Below are 23,038 nucleotides of genomic sequence, written 5' to 3' on the forward strand. Positions count from 1 at the left end.
CTGCCAAACCAATGTTTAACTCCTCAAAGTAGTTATGTTGAAAAATAACATGTGCCAATAACAATAGCACTACTTGAAATTCTTTTAAATATTTTCAGGTTGTTCAAGAATGCTTGATTTAGTTTCTGTCCAGTTAAACCACCTGGGTTTGGGTCACTGCTTTGTTGCTTACTAGCTATATAACCTTGGGCACATTTCTTAACCTCTCTCTGCCTTAATTTCCTCATCAGTAAACTAGAAATGATAGAGCTGTTGCACAGACTGAGTGACTTAATATATGAAAAGTGTTTAGAACTGTTTCATCAGGCACATAGTAAGCATTCAATAAATATTAGCTTTATATGACCCATCTTCTTCATCAGATTTGGCTTTGAGGACAGATGTGACTTTTTAGTATTTCCAAAAAGTCACTTAGAGTGTGATTATTGCCATTATTGAGGCTATTCTATAACATGTACTGCAGATTTTGTTTAATCTTCCAGCATTCTTTCATAACTTGGGGTGAATAGTTTATCTGTTTAATAATTGTGTTGTTGATGGACATGCCTATATCTTGCCATTTGAATATGCCTACTGAAGATTTTGCAGCACTAAGCTCTAAGGACATCAGCTTTTAAATAGCTACCAGAAATGCGAATCAATACAACGTTCAAATAATAAGGTTTTGGCCTTCATTTAAACCCACAGAAAGGCTATAATAAAATGCGCAAGTTGGACTGTTTAACAAAATTCCAAGCCCACTCATTCTGGTTTTTCACTTTTTACATTTTTTAATCCATCCACATATCTCATCCTCATTTCTTCTAGAGCTCCAGCTGACTTGGAAATGTGCTGCCATTTCTCTTCTCGTGACTTGTAGAAACAATCATTTTTTCCAAGGCCATACACACCAAGGCTGGACAAAGCATGTTTTCCACTGCAGCTACTCTGCTATGGAACACTGCTTTCCCTCCCTCTCGCCTCTGAAATATACCATCTTCCAAAACAAATGGAAAACCTGCCACTCAAAACAAGATCTAGTAGCCTCAGGTCTCATTTCCACTCAAACCAAATTTAGTTCAATTAACGACCCCATTGCTTCAGGTAAGGCCTGATTTAGTGCCCAGTGCTTGGTAATGGAAACTTCAGGCAGATGAGGAGAAGGAAAACAAAGACCCCCAATTTGAATTCAGATTTTAAAGTGATCCAAAGCCCAAAAAAGAATAGTTCAAAGCATAAATATCAGAAAATAACACAAACCTGGAATAATAATTTTTAAATTGACCTTTAGCTTTAAGAAGAGTTTAGTGGTATTTAGAAACCTAATTGTGATCCCATTTAATCCTAGTTGTAAACTTAATATTTAAAAGCCCAGACCTTTGGAGGCAGAGGTTGCAGTGAGCCGAGATCGTGCCACTGCACTTCAGCCTGGGTGACAGAGCAAGACTTCGTCTCAAAAACAAACAAACAAACAAACAAACAAAAACAACAAAGCCTAGACCTTTGTTGCGTTTCATACGAGGGATGTGAAATGCTCATGAATTCACTCTCCCACTGTTGGTCCCCCGAGAGCTTCAATTGGCATTTCAAACTTTGCTGCCTTAATTCTTCTACTGTGACCAGCTCTCAAAGCTCCTTTTAGTGATGACAAGTATTTCTCAAAAGCAAGCAAATGGTTCTATTTTCAGTATAAAAACAACAAAACAAAATGTATAGTATTACTGAAAGAGGAACTTGAAAAATAGGAAAATGAAGCCCCCTTGTGGACAAAAATATGTTTTATCAGATATGCACAAAATTCACTGATCATATTTGAATACAAAAATACTCAGTAGAATATATTTCAAAGTAAAATGCAAAGGATTCACCCAAGATGGCCTAACTCCAATTCCCAATTCCAGTTTGTTGGGACACAAATGATCTCTTGTACCATTGAATGACCTTGGAGATCAGCTGAAAGAACTGTGGCTTAAGGAAATGTTTTAATTTGTCAGGAGAAAGAAGTGTGTTTTAAATGGTGGGACACAGAGGTTAACATTCTGATTGCTGGCTATGAACTCCCTCCAGAGTCTGAGATGTTATCAGCAACTCTATCCCCCACGCTCCCACCTTCTTCTCCCACTTAGGCTGCAGACAGACTTTCTTGCCACCTCCTCCAGGCCCAGATGACAAGTAGGGAGAGTGAGTCATCATGCAGGATAATCCGAATGTCTTGAGAACATGCTGTTTGAAAAGTCAGAAACAGCACTGAATCTGAAGACTTTATCACATTTGCATTTGCATAACTGCCTTTGCCCCAGACTCTGCCACTAACTTTGTTATTTTGGGCAAATCGCTTAACCTCTTGATCTTTAATTCCACCTTCTTAAAATTGGAATAAGAGCAATACTCTCTTTATCTGCTTCACCAGGTCCTTGAGCTTCTTCGCTAACTATGAAGGAAGAAGTGAGAGAACACTGTGGTGCCAAACTCAAACTCGCATTCTAGCTCTGCCACTTGCTGTCCACCAGCAGCCCTTCTGCTTTGGACCTTGGAGAAGTGTCAAAGCCTCTCTGCATTGCAGATTTCTCATCTTTAAAATAAAAATCATATCCCAGAGAGTTGTTGAAGATTCACTGGGTAAATGTAAAGCGCATAGAACAATGCCAGGCACTGTAAGTACTATGTAAGTAATAACTATCATTAGGACCATGTAATGGACCATGTAAATGGTTGTTATTATTACTGTTTGATATGCTCTGAAATATAGAAATAAGAAACATCATCATCTGAAATAATCTCCTAAGTTTAAAACTTTGCCTGGAAAGAAGTAACTGGTAACCATAGCTTTGGAGAAACTATGTTATTGAAAACTGCATTCTCGTGGCTCTACTATGTTGATAAAATGCATATGCTATATCTATTAGCTTTCACAAAAAAGTAAACACACCTGATGTGTGAAAATTATTTAATAATGTTAAAGGTTATCAATTTATGAGAACACTCTGCAATTGATCAATACACACAGTCTTTCCAGAAAGTTTCTATGCTCATTTGCCATTGTTATTACACATTCTAGTGGATAAAAGAGATACCACACTCCAATAAAAAATGAGGGGCAGATATTAAAAGGATGTTTTAAGGAATCGCCACACTGACTTCCACAATGGTTGAACTAGTTTACAGTCCCACCAACAGTGTAAAAGTGTTCCTATTTCTCCACATCCTCTCCAGCACCTGTTGTTTCCTGACTTTTTAATGATCGCCATTCTAACTGGTGTGAGATGGTATCTCATTGTGGTTTTGATTTGCATTTCTCTGATGGCCAGTGATGGTGAGCATTCCTCAAGGATCTAGAACTAGAAATACCATTTGACCCAGCCATCCCATTACTGGGTATATATCCAAAGGACTATAAATCTTGCTGCTATAAAGACACATGCGCACGTATGTTTATTGCGGCACTATTCACAATAGCAAAGACTTGGAACCAACCCAAATGTCCAACAATGATAGACTGGATTAAGAAAATGTGGCACATATACACCATGGGATACCATGCAGCCATAAAAAATGATGAGTTCATGTCCTTTGTAGGGACATGGATGAAATTGGAAATCATCATTCTCAGTAAACTATCGCAAGAACAAAAAACCAAACACCGCATATTCTCACTCATAGGTGGGAATTGAACAGTGAGAACACATGGACAAAGGAAGGGGAACATCACACTCTGGGGACTGTTGTGGAGTGGGGGTAGGGGGGAGGGATAGCATTGGGAGATATACCTAATGCTAGATGACGAGTTAGTGGGTGCAGCGCACCAGCATGGCACATGTATACATATGTAACTAACCTGCACATTGTGCACATGTACCCTAAAACTTAAAGTATAATAATAATAATAATAATAATAATAATAAAAGGATGTCTTAAATGTCATAAATTGCCTACACAGGCTATCAAAATCAGCAAGGCCAATTCCTGGATGCCTCTTGGCTCTTTTTCATCAAGTCTAAATTATGTTGACATTGTTAATAGCCATTGTGATTAAATCATAAAATTTCAGTGCACAAGACTTCATCATTCTAAAATCCTGACAGCAATTTCATTCACATTATACTGTAGACACAAGGAAAGCAACACTGTGATTATACACCCTAATCTACATCCCTTTTTCTTGGAATATTTAAAATTTCATAATGTGTTATTTTTCTTCCTTCATAACTTTGGGCCACAACAGCAGTATATAAAGTGGATCAGTCAGGTTTGCAGACAGTGTGGCTGGTACTTCCATCCCAACCTCCTTTCCTGCTGAAACGAACAAGGCAGAGGCGCAGGGTCAAGGGCAGTCAGGGTTAACCAGCAGGCAGGGCTGGGACCTTGAGGAGTCACAAGGAGACTTCAAAGCTGAGGGCAACAAACCTGACTCCCCACCTAGAACACAGAGCCCTCTTACGTGTGGTAATGTATCCTGATAAAGCGGGACTTGGGGCTTGTTATAGGCTGTGTCAACTCTAGCACTACTCTATAGTACCAGTTTCTAGTGTCCTGGTGGATAGAAGTTCTAGTAGATGAACTTCTGGGACTTGACTCAATCCCATAAACATTATTATCCCAGATTATCCCAGAAACAGGTGGAGTGATGAAAAAATGTGTGATTCATATCTACAAAAGAATCTAGCTTTGCTAGGTCAGTAGCTTACAATGTTTTTTCATTAATACCAAAACTAAAGAATACATTTTTCAAAGCAACCTAGTATGCATATATATATTCTTATGTGTGTGTGTTTAAAACTCTATATATATGAAGCAAAATTTTCACAAAAAACAATATTTACCCTCATTATACACAACACATTCTGATACTACCCATTCTATTTAATTTTTTAAAAAATTGGTTCTGACTCAATTAATTTCACAGCCCACGCCACAGGTTGCAAGTGGGGGCTCTGGGCAAAGACATCCTGGCCACAAGACCCGCCCGCTCTTCTAACCATATGACTTTGGTCAAGTAACTTAACCTTTCTGTGCCCCAAGTCTGTTGCAGTCTTCATTTTATTTCAAGAGTCATTGAGAGAATTAAACGAGAAATCATTTAATCATTTATGTGATACTTTTAGAACTGAGCCTGAGTCTTAGCAGGGGGTCAATAAGTGCTGGCCTGCTTCCCTGTCATTATCTCTGAAAGGCCTGTGGAACAAAACTGTCTGGCGCTGGGGGGTCCTTATGCCCAGAAATCAACTCTCACCATGGAGAGATATCTATTCACTCTCCTCCTCCCTCCATCTGCTCCAGTCACATGAGCTTTCCATGTCGTCAAACACGCTCCAGACTCACTGTCTTTGCCCTTAATCATTCTTCTGCCTCGAGTGCTCTTCCCTCTAACATGCCTATGGCTCCTCACTTCCCAGTCTAATCACCCTCCCCCAGCTTCCCACCTTTACTCAGAAAAGAGTTCACCTCACAGGCTGAAGGTTGCCTGTCCTGAGAAAGCCCTGCTCAGAAGGTTGGCACTGCACTGGTATCTGGGAACTCGGCTATTAAACAGTTTCCCATGCTAATATAAAACTTCCCCTAAATTATAAGGGAGGCTTGCTGTGTCTAAATTGCTTGTATAAATAATGTGATTTATGCTGGACACCTGCTTCCTTCTGGGGGCCAGGGATTTGGGTACATACTAAGCAGAGGGTGTCTACCTGACTGGCTCCCAGTAAAAATCCTGGGCACTCAGTATCTCATGAGCTTCCCTTGTATCAACACTTTGCATGTGTCATGACAACTCGTTGCTGGAGGCATTAAGTGCATCCTAGGTGACTTTCCTGGAAAAGGACTCTTGGAGCTTGACCCAGTTTCCTCTGGACTTCACCCCATGTGCTGGTTCCCTTTGCTGATTTTGCTTCACATTTTTTACTGTAATAAATCTTAGCCATGAGTATGCTAAATCCTATGAGTCCTTGCAAATCAGTGGGGGAGATCTTCGGAGCCACCCACACACAAGCCTCCATGCAAATATCACCACCTTGAACAGACCTTCCCGGACCACCGTCTCTGTAGCATCGGTATTCTTTAATCACAATCATTCTCTATCTCCTCAACTGCTTTACTGAAGAGTAGAGCAGATCTCATTCCATTTATAAAATAATTGTATTGTCTTCCCTACCGAACATAAACTCCATGAAGGCATTAGGCACTCAGTATTTGTTGAGCCTCCATAATGTGCCAGATACCATGCCAGGCACTGAGGACACCACAGGGAAAAGACAGATAAAACTCCTTCCAAATGGAGCTTACATTTATGGGAGGAGACACAAAATAGATTTGTTTATTTGTTTAATATCAGAGGGTGGTGGGCACTAAAAAATATAATAAATAAGAGTCCGGGGATAAAGGATGGGATGGTGCTATTTCTTCTGGGGTGGTTAGAGAAGGCCTCTTTTGAGAGCATCACATCTAGAGGCTTGGGGAGCCATAGTCTAACCAGGCTACCTTCCCAGAGGAGGTAATACATCCACACTTAACGGGAAGCCCTCTAACTAAATTCTGTATCATATGACTAGAAATCAACAAAATTCCAAAAGGCATTATCCACAATAGTCATAATTTAAACAAATAAAAAATTATTTGGCAAATAAGCTAAAACTTATTTAGCAAACAAGCTAAACTTATATAGCAAATAAGCTAAAAGTCTTTGGGAAGACTTTCATTGAACAGCACGCCATGACCATTACTTAGAATTCAAGAAACCAATTATTGGGATTTCTTTCATTTAAAAAAAAATCAAGAAAGTCCTCCCAAAACTTCTCCTACATCTTTACATGACTAGTTAGCATGTCCCACAATAGTACCTAGTCACCTTGAGACTTTAGACACACTGACTTTAAAACCAAAACTATTTGTACGTTTCTCAAAGAGAAGAGAAATGGTTCATCTGAAATGTAAAACCTCCACCTAGTCTAGACTAAAGTGAGTCCATCCAATGTAAAATGGCAGCTCTACTGCTTCTCCATCTGTCTAAGTCCAGCTTCAACCAGAGAATATCGACAAGCTTTACAGCCATAGAATCACAGGGCATTAGAACTGGGAGGGTTGAGAGATCACCAAGTAAAACAACGCCCCCTCCCTGGGGTTTTGCTATTAAGGAGAGTAATGCCCAGAGAGATTTTGCTGAAGTTCACATGAGCAGTTTACAAACCTTAAACTTCATTCTCCTAATTTTAATCCAAAACCTTCAAGGCAAGGAACAAGTTTCTTATCTGATAAATAAACAAATAAACTCAGAAAGAGCCAGTATTGAATGACACATCCTTCAAAACTGGGGAGTCGTGCACTTCCTGAACTGGATCCAGACTATCCAGGGAATAAGGTAAGAATAAAGGAAACAGTCCTCCGGCCACAATTAGTCTTCCTTTTTTCCTTGACAGAAAACACCCTTATATCAAGGTTGGAGAGAGACAGTCTGGGCAGACCACTGAAGCAACGCTGCAGTGTCTGATGGAGACTGTATTTCCCTAATTCTAAGGAAGGACAGAGACAAAGTCTAGGGTACATGTTTTCCCTCTCACATTTTAACGTTTCTGAACATCCTAATTTGACAAGTATATTTAATATCATAAAGTTGATATTAAGTTGATGGTGCATCTTATAATTGATACTTAGGAACTGAAAGCCGAACCCAAAATGGAGCTTCAATTCCTAAAGAGCCTAAGAGTTTACTATTTATCCTTTGGTTTTCTCCTTCGTTGGTCAACTCTAGCGCTTCTCCAGTATCTTTCTACATCTCGACCTCCCTATTCCCTCTCGTGCATTTCTCTCATCCTGCAATTCTGTACCATGTAGCCAAATGCCCAAACCCTCTACTGAGGTTCCTGGGTAAATCCATACATGCTGATAACAACTGCTACAGCTCTATCCCATAAAAGCCCCTTCAGTAGAAGTAAGAGGCACAGCAGCTTTGGTACTTTTCTTTTTCTTGCTAATAAAGACACCCTCTGACAACCTGGATGCATTGAAAGAGCTTGAGTCAGTCGGGAGGAGCAGGGAAAAGTGGCAGAGTGTGGGGGCAAAATGTCAGGTTCAGACAGACTTGGCATCAAGTCCACGCCTCCTTTGTTACCTCTCTATGCCTCGGTGTTCCTGTAGTATAAGTAAGGTTATGAATCATAGAAGTTTCCTTAGAGGGCTGTGAAAATGACACCAGTTACAGAAGAGGCCCGGTACTTGGTAAGCACACAATAAATGTAAACTTCTATAACTGTATTTAATAACAATTGACACCTAAAATTCCTCTTTGTAGCTGCCAACCTATTTCCCAGATCACTTTGCAGGGAGGGTTCAGGAGGCATTACTACAACACGAATCTGTGGGATAGGGAGATGTGGCTGAAAACAGTGGGGCAGCCTAAATTGTGACCAGCTGGAACAGACCATCCCAGATTACCTAAGAAGTAACTGTGGAGTCAAATGATAACGTGACAAGTTCTTAAGGTATAAACACTATAAATTTTTCACTTAAAATATAGAGACTGAATAATGAATCAAGCTCTAAGATAACTAAAAGCACTAAAAAGCCTATTTCTAGATCCAATTGTTTTGAACAAATAAAAACCCTTACGATTTTTAACCATGTAAAGTGCACTAGTTACATTAGCCTCTGGGGGGCTCCTGGCTATGCCTGCCAATCATTTAATTGACCTTAGGGTGCTTTATAAATTAAGATCAAAGGTTTACTGCTTCGTATTTCTTTGCTATTCTCCCTGCTGTCATCCTGTCTCTCCCTGTCACCTACTTGGCCACCACTCTCACCAAAGACTGTTTTCCTGTCTGTATCACCACCACCCAGAGATGGTGCATCTGCTGTTCCAATCTGTAGCTTGGTGGTCTAGATCATCCTTGCAACTTAGAAAATAACTTTTGAGATCTATTGGGTTAGAATAATACTAGCCCTAACCATTGTTTTGTTAATTAAAATGGTCCATTTTTAACATCCTCCACAATAGCCCCCCAAAAAAAGCACAGTAAAGAAAGCGGGGTCACAGATTTCTCAAAATAGAAGTCAGGAGACCCTACAACCAACCAGTTATAGCACCTTAGGCTGCACAGTACTCCCTGGGTTCTAGTTTCCTCACCTGTAAAACAAGGTTAGGGATAACATTTGGTCTTCTTTTTAACTGAGGGATTATACATAAAAAATATTATATTATATTAGTATATGCATACTCATTATACATTTATAAATACATATGAAAATAGTATATATACTATAGAATACACAATACATAGATGTGTTCATTATAGATCAGTTGATCTATTATGTTGGTGCCAAAGTGATTGTGGTTTTTGCCATTATTTTCAATGACAAAAACCGCAATTACTTTGGCACCAACCTGATACATGCACGGCTATCAGGCAACACTGCCAAAACTAAATCCAGCCACATGGCCAGTCAGAGACTTACATGGATTTCTTATTCTTTAGCCATGACAGTAATGAACTTCAGAAACAGAGGGAGGAAGAATAAATGCAGATGTACTTTAAAAGTCAATCTGGGATCGCACTGAAAGAATGAAAGGCTGTCTGAAGGAAACGGAGAAAATTGCTCAAACGAAGAAAACAATATTATGCTTTTCTTTTTTAAACATCATGAGGCTAAAGTGGCTTTGGAAGCTCTATGTTCCCTCAGCCACTCCACACAGATAGAATATATCTGCATGTTCTCCCATGGCTACAAAATCATCCAAATCATTTCCTAGAATCCAAGGCCTTCATTTCCAGCCTATGCTGTGAAACATGGATCTTCTACTCTAGTGGGCTGATTTTCTCCCTGCCCTGTAAATGTAGTTTTGCACACATTCTTGCCTCTGCCTACCAGAATCTGCCCCATCCCTTACTGTTTAGAATACTATTGTTCAATACAGTAGCCACTAGGTAGATGGGACTATTTAAATTTAATGTAAACTACTTAAATTATATAAAATTTAAAATTCCATTCCTTAATCATACTAGTCTTATTTCAACTACTTTCTAGCTGCATGTGACTGGTGGCTACTGTATTGGAAGCACAGATACCACATTTTATCACCACACAAAGTTCCACTGGATAGTGCTGGTCTACAGCAAGGGTTGGCAAATATTTTCTTTTTTTTTTTTTACTTGAAGTTCTGGGATACATGTGCAGAGCATGCAGGTTTGTTACATAGGTATACATGTGTCATGGTGGTTTGCTGCACCTATCAACCTGTCAACTAGGTTTTAAGCACCTCATGCATTAGGTATTGTCCTAATGATCTCCCTCCCCCCGACAGTCCCCAGTGTGTGATGTTCCCCTCCCTGTGTCCATGTGTTCTCATTGTTCAACTCCCACTTATCAGTGAGAACATGCAGTGTTTGGTTTTCTGTTCCTGTGTTAGTTTTCTGAGAATAATCACTTCCTGTTTCATCCATGTCCCTGCAAAGGACATTAACTCATTCTTTTTTATGACTGCATAGTATTCCATGGTATATATGTGGGTTGGCAAATACTTTCTATGAAAAACCAGAACATAAGTTTAGGTTTTGGGGGCCATGAGACAAAACAGAGGATATTTTATGGGTACTTACATAACAAGAAAAAAGTTTTTTTCACAAAATTTTTACCGATAAAATTCAAATAATAATAATAATTGAGCCAGGTGTGGTGGCTCATGCCTGTAATTCCAGCACTTTGGGAGGCTGGGGCAGGAGGATCACTTGCGCTCAGGAGTCGAGACCAGCCTGGGAAACATAGGGAGACCCCACCTCTATAAAAAGTGATAATAAACAATTAGCTAGGCATGGTGGCGTATGCCTGTGGTCCCAGCTACTTAGGAGGCTGAAGTGGGAGGATCACTTAAGTCTGAAAGGTGGAGGTTACAGTTAGCTGAGATCGTGCCACTGCACTCCAGCCTGTCTGACAGGGTAAGACCCCATCTCAAAATAATAATAATAATAATTGGATGTAATTTGTTTTTGTAATAGAAGCCTGCTACTGAGAAGAATGGAATTCTTTTTTGAGGGAAAACATTTTGCTTACATGGGCTTCAAAGTTAATGTTTCCTATAATTAAATTGATTGACTGCAAATGTTCATCTATAAAAACCATTCTCAGCTTGTAGATCATGCAAACAAGCAGGGAGCAAGCCTGATGGGGCCTGTGTACTGTAATTCCCAAGTTCCCTGTCTGGAGTGTTTCTCAACAGGACACTATCAACACATTGGGAGGGTCATTTCTTCATTTTGTAGGATTAGCCCACACATTGAAAATAGTACACAACCTTGGCCCTCAGGCACTAAATACAGTAGCATCTTCCAGTCAATGTGATAACAAAAGTGCCCCACCACATATTCAAGCTCTCCACCACCCAAGGGGAGGCACCATTGCCAGATGGAACCACGGAATCTTTCTCATGTCCATCTTTTCTGCACCTCTAACCATACAACCTCTAACTCTGACCTTCTAAATAATCTATTATTAACTATTGACCCTCATGAGCAGTACAAACAAGGCTGAAATTGCGAAATATATATGTGGGAACATTCGTCTCAACCAAATTTCAAGTTGAACACATTCAGATTCCCATGTCTTGACATACTTGACGAATGAGCCCACTAGGGGCTCATTTGTGTGAGAGGCTAAGGCTTCTCCCAGAAAAAAAGCCACACTAAAGTAAGAGAGTTAAGACAGAAACCTGGTCTAGAAAACATGGGCCAATGCTGGGGGAATTGATGGTTTATATCTCCATTCATTCATTCCTTCAACAAATATTTCCTGTTTACTCTGTGTTAGGCACTGCTGGAGACCATGGACAGAGGCATGTATGAGCCATCAGGCTTCCATGCTGTCCTTCCATCCTTAACCTGTTGCTCAGCAGTCATGCAGTTCCCTCATCTGTCCAACGAGACAAATGGTAGCACATATCTCAGCTGGTTTAAGCCCTTAGAGAAGTACCTGGCACATAATTACAGCAAATACTTATTTTTTGAGCACTTGTTATATTAATTACAAGCCAGTCATATGGATTCATGCCCAGGTTCTTAGAAGAAGAGACAGCAAGAAAGGGTACGTGAAAACCATGAAAATCTATTAAATGGAGGTTTTTGGATACTTGAGTGTAAATTGGCATGGAAGGGTTTGCCAGCTTCAATGCTGGTAGTGCTAGTGTAGCAGGAAATGGAGCCATCCATGTTAGGAGGCTTCCAGCACATCATCCTCTCTGTGTGGGCAACAGAAGCCACAGCAGCAGTTATTACCTCAGGGCTCCTGCTCAGGAGAGGTGTAAAATGGCAGACACCCTGCACAACCAAGAAGTACTTATTGTGAGCACTTGGGAACTAGCCCTGGGGGATCCTCTGAGAGCAAAGGGAGACTGAGGCTCCCAAAACCAGAGAAATACTGTCCCATGACTCAGTAGTGGCCTTATTTTACCCAAAAACTGATAGGGCCTTGGAGTATTTTTTTTCAGTAATAAGAGCTATCATTTAGCCTTAACCATGCATCAAGCACTGCATGAGAGCTTCACATCATTTTATCATTTAATCCTCACAGCTCTGCCTCCACTTCCCCCCACTCATATGAGAGCAAATTAGCAGGCTAAGTAACTTGCCCAAGGTCATGTAGCTAATACAGGGGAGCAAGGACTCATCCCCAGATCTACCTATCCACTACAGAGCTGTTCTCTTAACTACGACGCTGCCAGCCTGGCAGGAGCTGCCCACATGCATGCACCTCCCTCAACTGCCTTGAAACAGCCATCCCTCATGGTGGTGCCACTTATGAAACACAATGTGAAGGTAACTCATTGTGATTCCTTCTCATCTCCCAACAGTACCCAGCAGAACACCTGAGTAATAAGTAATATTTATTTAAAACCAGTGGGAACTTGTCAACTATATACACAGAGTCATAGGTCTTACTATTTATCATTAGAAATAATATAAATGAAAATCAAATTGGTAGCCCTCAGGATCTTCTGATAAGTCAAAAGAAGTAGCCCTTACCTGAAGGATGTTATTGGCTGTTACCAATGGAGCTTCATCATTTACAGATTCAACAGTCACAAAAAGAGTTTGGGGCAGACTCTGTTTTCCAAGCTCTGAGCTATTCGCAAAGATGGTGAAATTGTCATGAAGCTTCTCGCTGTCATCATGAGCATAGTAAGTCAATTCATTTTCCACCTATAACAAACCACAAAGTCACCAGTTTGCTGAAGTGTGACTTAAAAATATGAACAAATGGCAATCAAAGAAATCCCAATTTTTAAAGTCTCTCTAAAACACAAAAGCACATCCTCATCCTGTGAAGTTTCAGTCTGACAATCAAAGTGCAAACTGTGATGGATGGTATAGTTTTTCTGAAATGATACTGCATCCTAGAAATACAATTAAGGAGGAACAGCTTTTCCAGTGCTGGCTCCACTTGGTCAGTGCAGTTTCGCCTTTGTGGTTGTGGAGTCCATCCCAGCTGTGGACCGCAAATAACCCTGTACGAAGAGGAATGGAGATTGCCTCTATCCACCTAGATTCATAAGCTGCCCTGAGGCGATCTTGGCATCAAGGAAGGGAGCATTGAGGCACATCGCACCATCAGCTTCAGAGGATGGCAGCCATTGATTTGTCCCGTGGGTTTTTTTCCAGGGAACCAATCTGCCCTTTTGAAGAAAAGACAAAGGTAGAAAGGATGGTGGTAGACTACCTGGCAATTGGTTATCAGAATGGGAAATACAACCTAGAACCAAACGGTCATCACTTCAGCAGGGTTTTTTGAAGAATCAAATATTCAATGGGATACAAATGACAAGAGGCTACAGTGGATGGGAACTGTGTGACTGTAAGAATTGTGGACAGGTCTTCAGTGAACAGTTTTGCCTTAAGACACACATGAGAGCTCAGAATGGAGGGAACACTTCTGAGGGTAATTGTTATGGAAAAGACATCCTCAGTGTGCACAAGGAAGCTTCTATTGGACAGGAACTTTCCAAATTTAACCCATGTGGAAATGTCTACACTCTAACTCCAGGCTTTGCTGTGCATCTTGAAATTCTCAATGCAAGACAACCCTACAAATGTAAGGAATGTGGAAAAGGCTTTAAGTATTTTGTAAGCCTTGATAATCACATGGGAATCCACACTGGTGAGAAACTCTGTGAATTTCAGGAAGGTGGGAGAGCCATCACAGTTTCCTCACATCTAAAGCAGTGTGTAACAGTTCATACAGGAAAGAAATCTAAAAAGACTAAGAAAGGTGGGAAATCCTTCACTAATTTTTCTCAACTTTATACATGTGAAAAATCATAAAGGAGAGAAGTCCTTTGAACGTAAAGAATGTGGAAGGTCCTTTAGAAATTCCTCATGCCTTAATGATCACATTCAAATTCACACTGGAATAAAACCGCGCAAGTGTACATACTGCGGGAAAGCCTTCACTAGATCAACTCAACTTATTGAACATGTAAGAACTCACACTGGAATACAACCCTGTGAATGTAAGGAATGTGGCCAAGCCTTCATTCAGTACTCGGGCCCTTCTATACACATACGAAATCGCAGTGGAAAGAAACCCTATCAGTGTAAGGAATGTGGGAAAGCCTTCACTACGTCCACAAGCCTTATTCAACATACAAGAATTCACACAGGAGAGAAGCCTTATGAATGTGTTGAATGTGGGAATACCTTCATTACTTCTTCCCGTCATAGTAAACATTTGAAAACTCATAGTGGAGAAAAGACCTTTGTATGCAAGATATGTGGGAAAGCATTTCTGTATTCCTCATGCCTTAATGTTCACCTGCAAACTCATACCAGAGGGAAACCTTTCGTATGTAAAGAATGCGGGAAAGCATTTGCTGTTTCCTCACGCCTAAGTAGACATGAAAGAATTCACACTGGGGAGAAACCCTATGAATGTAAGGGTATGAGTGTTACCATTTAGCCCATCGGTTGCCATCTTTAATTATTGGCAATGACACCAAAGATTATCAGATTTGTCCTAAATGCCTTGAGGAGGTTTAATGGTCGTGGATTGGCCTTAGATGCCATCCTGAGGGTCTAAAATTAAAACTACAGGTTCTGAATACAACTTCTTCATGGATGCCTAAGTCTGAGCATCTGTGAAGAAGGGTCATGGATGGTGAGGTCAATACTTCAGGCTGCCTTACCTTGGTGATTAGATTCCTAAGATCATAGCATTAACAAGTTCTGTATGAGATAAATCATGCAGACTGGTCCCAGCCCCTGTTGGTTAGTGGCTGCCAGTGTGGCACATTCATGTCAAAATTTACCAGAAGCCAAGATGATGTAGGTCCCAGAGGTGGATTGTTAAAAGATGCTCCTTCAAAGGTCTCTTCTATTCCCACGGATCCTGCAGAGCATGGCAGGAATTAAACCATCCATAACTGCCAGTGCACTTTCACAGCTAATTATTTCTGTGTCCCCTTCTTGTAAAATCTAAGAAGTGTGACAGCCTTGCCTGTTCTGCCTTGTATATTTTAGGTGGCACAATCTAAGTGGCAGTGTCTCTTCTAGTATAATCCAGTCTTTCACCTCATTTCTGTTAAGATGGCTGATATAGTCCATGAATCTCACTCATGATCTATTTATCAGATGATTGTTCAGCCACACTTTCAGGATTCTCTTCAGCACAAGTTTTCTAATTTTTGCAGTATGGATAGGCTGAGAATTTTCCAAATCTCCAAGCTCTGGTTCCTTTTTCCTTAACAATTTCTTTTGCAATTCAAGTCTCCTCTTTTGCATTTTCCTGTAAGCAGTCAGGAAGAATGAAGTTTCCTGTGTCCTTTAACACTTTAATTGCAGATCTTAGTGATACATACCCAATTTTATCTCTCTCAAGTTCTACCTTCCACAGAATGCTAGAATACAGTTCAGCCAAGTTCTTCACCACTTCATATCAAGGGTTGTCTTTTCCTCATTTCCCAATAGCATGTTCCTCATTCCCCAGTGACACTTCACCAGAATCACCCTTACCAACCTTATTTCCAGCTTGCACATCAGAATTTTTCCAGCCTGTACTCATTTGTCAGTTTCAAAGCTGTTTCACATTTTTAGTTTTTTTGTTTCTTTGTTTTTAATTGCAATACCTCACTTCTCAGTACCAAAATCTGCCTTAATGAGCTCAGGCCACCATAACAAAATACCACAGACCAAATGGCTTACAAATTCATTTAATTTTAAATAAAGGAGGTTAAAAACAGAAATTTATATTCTCACATTTCTGGAGGCTGGAAGTCTGAGACCAGAGTGCCAGCATGGTCAGCTTCTGGTGAGAGCTCTCTTCCTGGTATGTAAATGCCCACTTCCTCATGTCTTCACATGATGGAGACCAACAAATAGGTCAGTCAGTCTGTCTCTCTCTCTGTCTTTCGCTCCTCTCTTCTCGCTCTCTCTCTCTCTCTCTCTCTCCCCTGCCATCTCTCAACATAATTTCATGATACTTCCTAAAGATCCTATTTTCACATATAGTCACACTGGGATTTGGAGCTTCAACATATGAATTTTGGGGGTTATCATTCAGTCCAAAGTACTTAATATGATTCTTTTCCCTTTCCACATAGGCAATCACATAATCTGTAAATAATGACTCTTATTTTTCCACTTCAGTCATTAGTTATCTCTCTATATATACTTTTTCTTGCTTTACTGGACTGATTTCAACGTGCAGCACAACACCAACTAAAAGTAGTAATATCAGCATAATTGTCTGCAGTTCTGCTGAGATATGTGCTCCATTTTATTGGCTTGGCTGTAGGTTTTTATTTTTTTTTATTTTTTGAAGAGGCTATCTCCTAGAGGAAAGATTTCTTTTTATATCCAGTTTTTACATGATGAATGATTTCCCAATATTTCATAATTTGTGAGGCTGAATTCCTCTTGAATTTATTAAATGCTTCCTGTGCATCCTCAAAAAAAAAAAAAGATTAAGGAGGAACAAAGCGATTGAGCAATGTGGTGTAGCAGAGAGAATGCTGGACTGATCATCAGAAGATCTGAGGTAAAAGTGCTACCTTAACATGAAAGTGTGTTGTTAGTGACTAATTTTTGAGGCTGGTAATCGCTTTGTTTGACAATTCAAACTGTTAGATTTCAGCTCTGAAACTTCTATTCATCCATTGCTTGAGTTTCTCCTTTAGAGACATATGGACGAGAGCAACTATTAAGTTTGCCCAAATTTCTCTTTTCTAAACTAAGTATGCGTTGGTCCTTTAACTGTTCTTTGTATGTGAGGTTATATTTCCTACTGAGGTTATACTTCTATAATCCTGCTCCTTCTCCTTCAGAATACAATAGGTTTTTGTGCAACTAATAAAGGATGCTACCCGTAACTACCTAACATACATCCCCTGTGGACAGACTGTGATGAATTACACTGAAATCAACCACACAGATCTCCCTCTCTATAATAATCCAAATGCAAGCATTTACTTTTACTTTTGTCATATTTTATCCTTTTTTTTTTTTTTTTTGAGATGGGGTCTTACTCTGTCACCCAGGCTGGAGTGCAGTGGCATGATCTCAGCTCACTGCAACCTTCACCTCCCAGGCTCAAGCGATCCTCACACCTCAGCCTCCCAAGTAGTTGGGAAGACAGGCACCCACCACCATGCCCAGGGAATTTTTTTGTATTTTTGGTAGAGAGGAGGTTTCACCATGTTGCCCAGGCTGGTCAGATTTCATCCTTTTAATGTTTGCTCTGAAATCGTCCTCCAGAGAATTAGTTATTCCTCTTGGATTTGTCATAACCACAACTTTGATCAAAATGCCTTTCATGTCTTTAAAACTCTGATGGAAATATTGAAGAGCACAGAATCAAAATCAGAGACCAAGAGGATTATAAAACTAAAAGGGAACTTAGCTGCAGTGAGTCTGTGACCCAAACGTACAGCAGAGAACTCCCAAACCCCAAAAGGAGTAGCTGAACTTCTGAAAAAGTATCTGGGATTGTGTTTATTTTGATAAAATACAGCCAAAATTTTTAACAGTTCAAGTTCACGCATTCCTGTGGCATACTTCCTCTGAGTAAAGTCTTTTGATCTTTCAGAGGTGTTTCTGACAAGAGTTGAAAAGTTCATGAAGGGTCTCAAGAGAAAGTTGTGTCCACTCGTACAGAGGTGCTATGAGAATTTCTTTGGAGTTCTGTGGGCAGAAGAATTCCAGCTCATGGCCTGTGCATGTGCTCCTGGAACATGCTGTCTTAAGCTATTTGAAAACAAACATGGAAGATGGCTCTAAGCAGAATGTGGGAGAAGTTTTAATGCACTTTAGAAATGTAACCTTTAAATACCAGTCATGTTCAGAGTATTTCTCCCGGAAAAATACATCATTTCTTTAATGGAGTGGCACTTCCCAAAATGACATGCCATTTAATAATATTAATCTGAAGGCAAAGAGAGGGTATGTTGGGGATTTGTCTATCCCTAGACTTCTAAAACCAGAACAATACCTGCTGGCCTGAAATTAAAGGATACAACAAACTAATGGAAAATCTTGACAGATTCAAAAGTATTTGGTCCCCTGTCACCAACTCCGTTCAGGGACATCTTTGGCGCTCCTCTGCTCACACCTTCTCATCCCCCAGTGCTCCCCTCTCACTCCTTACTCCAGGTCAAAGGTGAAGCCTCGGGCCCTCCCACACCTGATCTGCTGACTCATCTGCTGTGCTCCCCACCACGCCTGCAGCACCAGCCACACTGGATGACTTGCTGCTCCTCGGACACACCAGGCATGCTCCCCACACAAAGCTGTTGCTCTTGCTCTTCCTTCTGCCTGAATGTTTTTCCAATATACACTTAGCTCACCTATCCATCACCTCCTCCGGGGTCTGCTCAAATGCTGCTTTCTCAACGGTGCCTTCCTTCACCACTCTATTAGAAATTGAACGTCAATACACACACACACTCCATTAAAGATCCCAGCACTTCCTAGCTCCCTTTCCTGCTTTATTTTTCTCCATAGCACAAATCATTCAACATGCCATTTATTTCATGTATTTATTTTATTTATTGTTTCTTCCTGCCTCTCTCTTTCCCTCATCAGGAAAAATGCTCCCTATGGGCTGGGATTATCACCTGGTTAGTTCACCAATTTATCCCCAGTACCTAGAACTGGCATCCCTGACACAAAATAGATATTCAAAAACTATTTGCTGAATGAATGAAGGGCAAGAATGGCCAGGGAATCTCCCTCTCCAAGTCACTAAAGGCTGCAGCCACTAGTTTTTAGAGGTTAGAGTCACTGTAAGTGAAAATGACCATGTCTCAAAACTTAGTGACCCCAGGAGTCATCTAGGGAGAGACAATGTGAAGGGGTCGCCTCGAAATCAGGGACCCATGACTTTGACTCTTCTCTGTGAATAAGGCTACATGATAACATAAACAGCATGTTGTCACAGCAGATGCACAGGGAACACCTGCATCTCGACACATACGTTTCAACCAGTCATTCTTAAATACACGCCTCTTACACAACACAATTAACCACTGAATTGACCAGGATCGGACCAAAATTTAGTGCTCAGAAGATAGGGCTACAATTTACAAACTATTTTTAGAGAGGTATTCAATTCAACTCACAGCAGAGCAGGTTTGAAATGGTCTTAGATGGTTTGTCCAGCCTTTGAGGGAGAAGCCATGACTGAAAGACACCTGCATGAGGTCACTAAAGCATCACCTTCCCTGGGACCCCACCTGCATGAGGTCACTAAAGTGTCACCTTCCCTGGGACCCCCGCTGAGAAGCACTGATGTCTAAGGTCTTTTCCAACCCTCAGCATTCTCTGATTCTCCCCAGGGCTCCCCAAATCCCCTGGTTAAGTCTAGCCCCCTTGACGTGTAATTCAGGTTACATCTCCTGTGGTCAAAGGGGAGGACTCCTCCACAGATTAGCTCCAAGTACACTCTGCCACTCCTCCACCTCCTGGACAACTCCCCATCCCTCTAGAATGCCCTTGGCCATGCTGTTCCCTTTGCTTGCCCTGCTTTTCTCTGTTTCCTCCTCTGTTATCTCCCTGCTCTTTCACTCTCTCCTCAAAGTCTAGCTGAAACATTATTTCCTCTGTGAAGGTTTCCTCATGCTTTTCAGTTAGAATCTTTATTCCCACCATACCACTGTGAAAATGCCACGTGAGAGGCAAGAAGAGTGCACCTTATATTAAACCTGGTGCCTCTGATTGCTCAGCAGTATTTCTTGAGGGCGAGAAATATGTTTTACTGACCATGGTAACTGCACACAGTAACTCGAACAAGATGTTTAGTAAATTGATTCAAATCAATGGATGAGTTGAAATTCTTAGAAGCAAATGAAGCATCAAACATGTGTTCCTAGCTGACTAGACAAAGACACTCTAAAATGGTAGGTGGTTGTTAATGGTTTCCAACCTGGAGAGTGTATGTTCCTAGGGTCTTATAAAGGAAATGATGGGGACCTGCAAGTTACTTTTCAACATTTAAAAAGAAAGTAGTGGAAATCATTCTTTCATTCATGATAAGAAAGTAAAGTCTAACAATAAGACCATTCTAACCCAAAGTAAAGAAACGTGACAGCAGCCCGGAGTTGTCCTTGGTTATTTTATGCTGATTGGATGCCAAATTGGCAATTGTACCCAGCTCCCTGATTGCAGGGCCTGGACTATTTTAACTTTCGAGAGCTTATGTTCATCATAGGGTATGATATGGAAAACGTACCATGTAAGCATCTGTTGGTTGAATGAGAAAATGAATGAATAAAAAAATCCACCAATGATTAAAGCATACTTGTGTTAAATACCTGGGCATTACCCCGATATTGCTGACAGGGCCAGTGACAATGTGGCACTCATCTAGAACTGGGCAACCAGGATCGTGCAGGAAACCCATGGCATAGAAGCAAAAGCTGGAAAGCTAGGGATGTTTAACCTAAGAAAGATAAAATTCAAGGAAATCTGATCATCTTTTCTTTCAAATACTTAAAAAGCTTTCATGAAAGGATGGGTATGATTTATTCTGTACCAGAATAGTATGATTCTAGGAGAATCATACTATGAATGAATCTAGGAGGCATATGTTTTATTCTGTACCAGAGGTACCTCTGGTACAGAATAAATCTGGGGTACTAGAGCCAGCGCCTAGGAGAAAAAGTTTTTAAATGGCAGATTTCAGCTCAGCCTAAATAACTATCTAAAAATTGGAGCGTATTTACATTGGAAGGGCTCATCTCAGCAAGTAGTAAGTTCCCTATCACTGAAGATGTTTAAGCACTGGCTAGATAACCTTTCTATAGGAATACTGTGGAAGGGCTTCTAGCATCTGTTGGGAGGTGGACTAGACACCCTCCAAGGTCCCATTGAGAGGTGACAGCGTGCTGGCAGTCCTCACAGCCCTCGCTCGCTCTTGGCGCCTCCTCTGCCTGGGCTCCCACTTTGGCGGCACTTGTGGAGCCCATCAGTCCACCGCTGCACTGTGGGAGCCCCTTTCTGGGCTGGCTAAGGCCAGAGCCGGCTCCCTCAGCTTTCAGGGAGGTGTGGAGGGAGAGGCGCGAGCGGGAACCTGGGCTGTGCGCGGTGCTTGCGGGCCAGCTGGAGTTCCGGGTGGGCGTGGGCTTGGCGGCCCGGCACTCGGAGCAGCCGGCCGGCCCTGCCGGCCCCGGGCAATGAGGGGCTTAGCACCCGGGCCGGCGGCTGCGGAGGGTGTACTGGGTCCCCCAGCAGTGCCAGCCCGCCAGCGCTGCGCTCGATTTCTCACCGGGCTTTAGCTGCCTTCCCGCGGGGCAGGGCTCGGGACCTGCAGCCCGCCATGCCTGAGCCTCCCACCCCCTCCATGGGCTCCTGTGCGGCCCAAGCCTCCTCGATGAGAGCCGCCCCCTGCTCCACAGCACCCACTCCCATCGACCACCCAAGGGCTGAGGAGTGCGGGCGCATGGCACGGGACTGGCAGGCAGCTCCACCGGCAGCGCGGGTGTGGTATCCACTGGGTGAAGCCAGTTGGGCTCCTGAGTCTGGTAGGGAGGTGGAGAATCCTTATGTCTAGCTCAGGGATTATAAATACACCAATCGGCACTCTGTATCTAGCTCAAGGTTTGTAAACGCACCAATCAGCACCCTGTGTCTAGCTCAGGGTTTCTAAACGCACCAATGGACACTCTGTATCTAGCTGCTCTGGTGGGGCCTTGGAGAACCTTTATGTCTAGCTCAGGGATTGTAAATACACCAATCAGCACTCTATCTAGCTCAAGGTTTGTAAACACACCAATCAGCACCCTGTGTCTAGCTCAGGGTTTGTGAGTGCACCAGTCGACACTGTATCTAGCTGCTCTGGTGGGCCTTGGAGAACCTTTGTGTCCATACTCTGTATCTAACTGATCTGATGGGGATGTGGAGAACCTTTATGTCTAGCTCAGGGATTGTAAATGCACCAATCAGTGCCCTGTCAAAACAGACCACTCGGATCTACCAGTCAGCAGGACGCGGGTGGGGCCAGATAAGAGAATAAAAGCAGGCTGCCCGAGCCAGCAGTGGCAACCCGCTCGGGTCCCCTTCCACCCTGTGGAAGCTTTGTTCTTTCGCTCTTTGCAATAAATCTTGCTACTGCTCACTCTTTGGGTCCACACTGCTTTCATGAGCTATAACACTCACCGTGAAAGTCCGCAGCTTCACTTCTGAAGCCAGCGAGACCACGAGCCCTCTGGGAGGAATGAACAACTCCAGACGCGCCACCTTAAGAGCTGTAACACTCACTGCGAAGGTCTGCAGCTTCACTCCTGAGCCAGCGAGACCACGAACCAACCAGAAGGAAGAAACTCCGAACACATCCGAAGGTCAGAAGGAACAAACTCCAGATGCGCCACCTTAAGAGCTGTAGAGCTGTAACACTCACCCGAGGGTCCGTGGCTTCATTCTTGAAGTCAGTGAGACCAAGAACCCACCAATGCTAGACACACCATCATACCCATAAATCTAAATAATAAATAGCCATTTTTTTCTCCTACCCAACATTCCCAATTACATAAACTGAGAGTTATTACCTGTTTCCCAATAAATTTTATTAGCTTTCCTCTTGGAAAATTAGAACTTTTAACATAACT

The 23,038-nt window shown here is 41.8% G+C and overlaps 2 pseudogenes; one reads left to right on the top strand and one right to left on the bottom strand.

Annotated features, from left to right (window-relative positions):
- Positions 1-23,038, bottom strand: part of CSPG4BP (chondroitin sulfate proteoglycan family member 4B, pseudogene) — a 61,896-nt pseudogene that overhangs the window by 33,455 nt on the left and 5,403 nt on the right.
- LOC100130990 (zinc finger protein 561-like) lies at positions 13,370-15,098 on the top strand (annotated as a pseudogene).

This window comes from Homo sapiens, chromosome 5 (assembly GCF_000001405.40).
Source record: "Homo sapiens chromosome 5, GRCh38.p14 Primary Assembly".
In the NCBI taxonomy this organism is placed as follows: domain Eukaryota; kingdom Metazoa; phylum Chordata; class Mammalia; order Primates; family Hominidae; genus Homo; species Homo sapiens.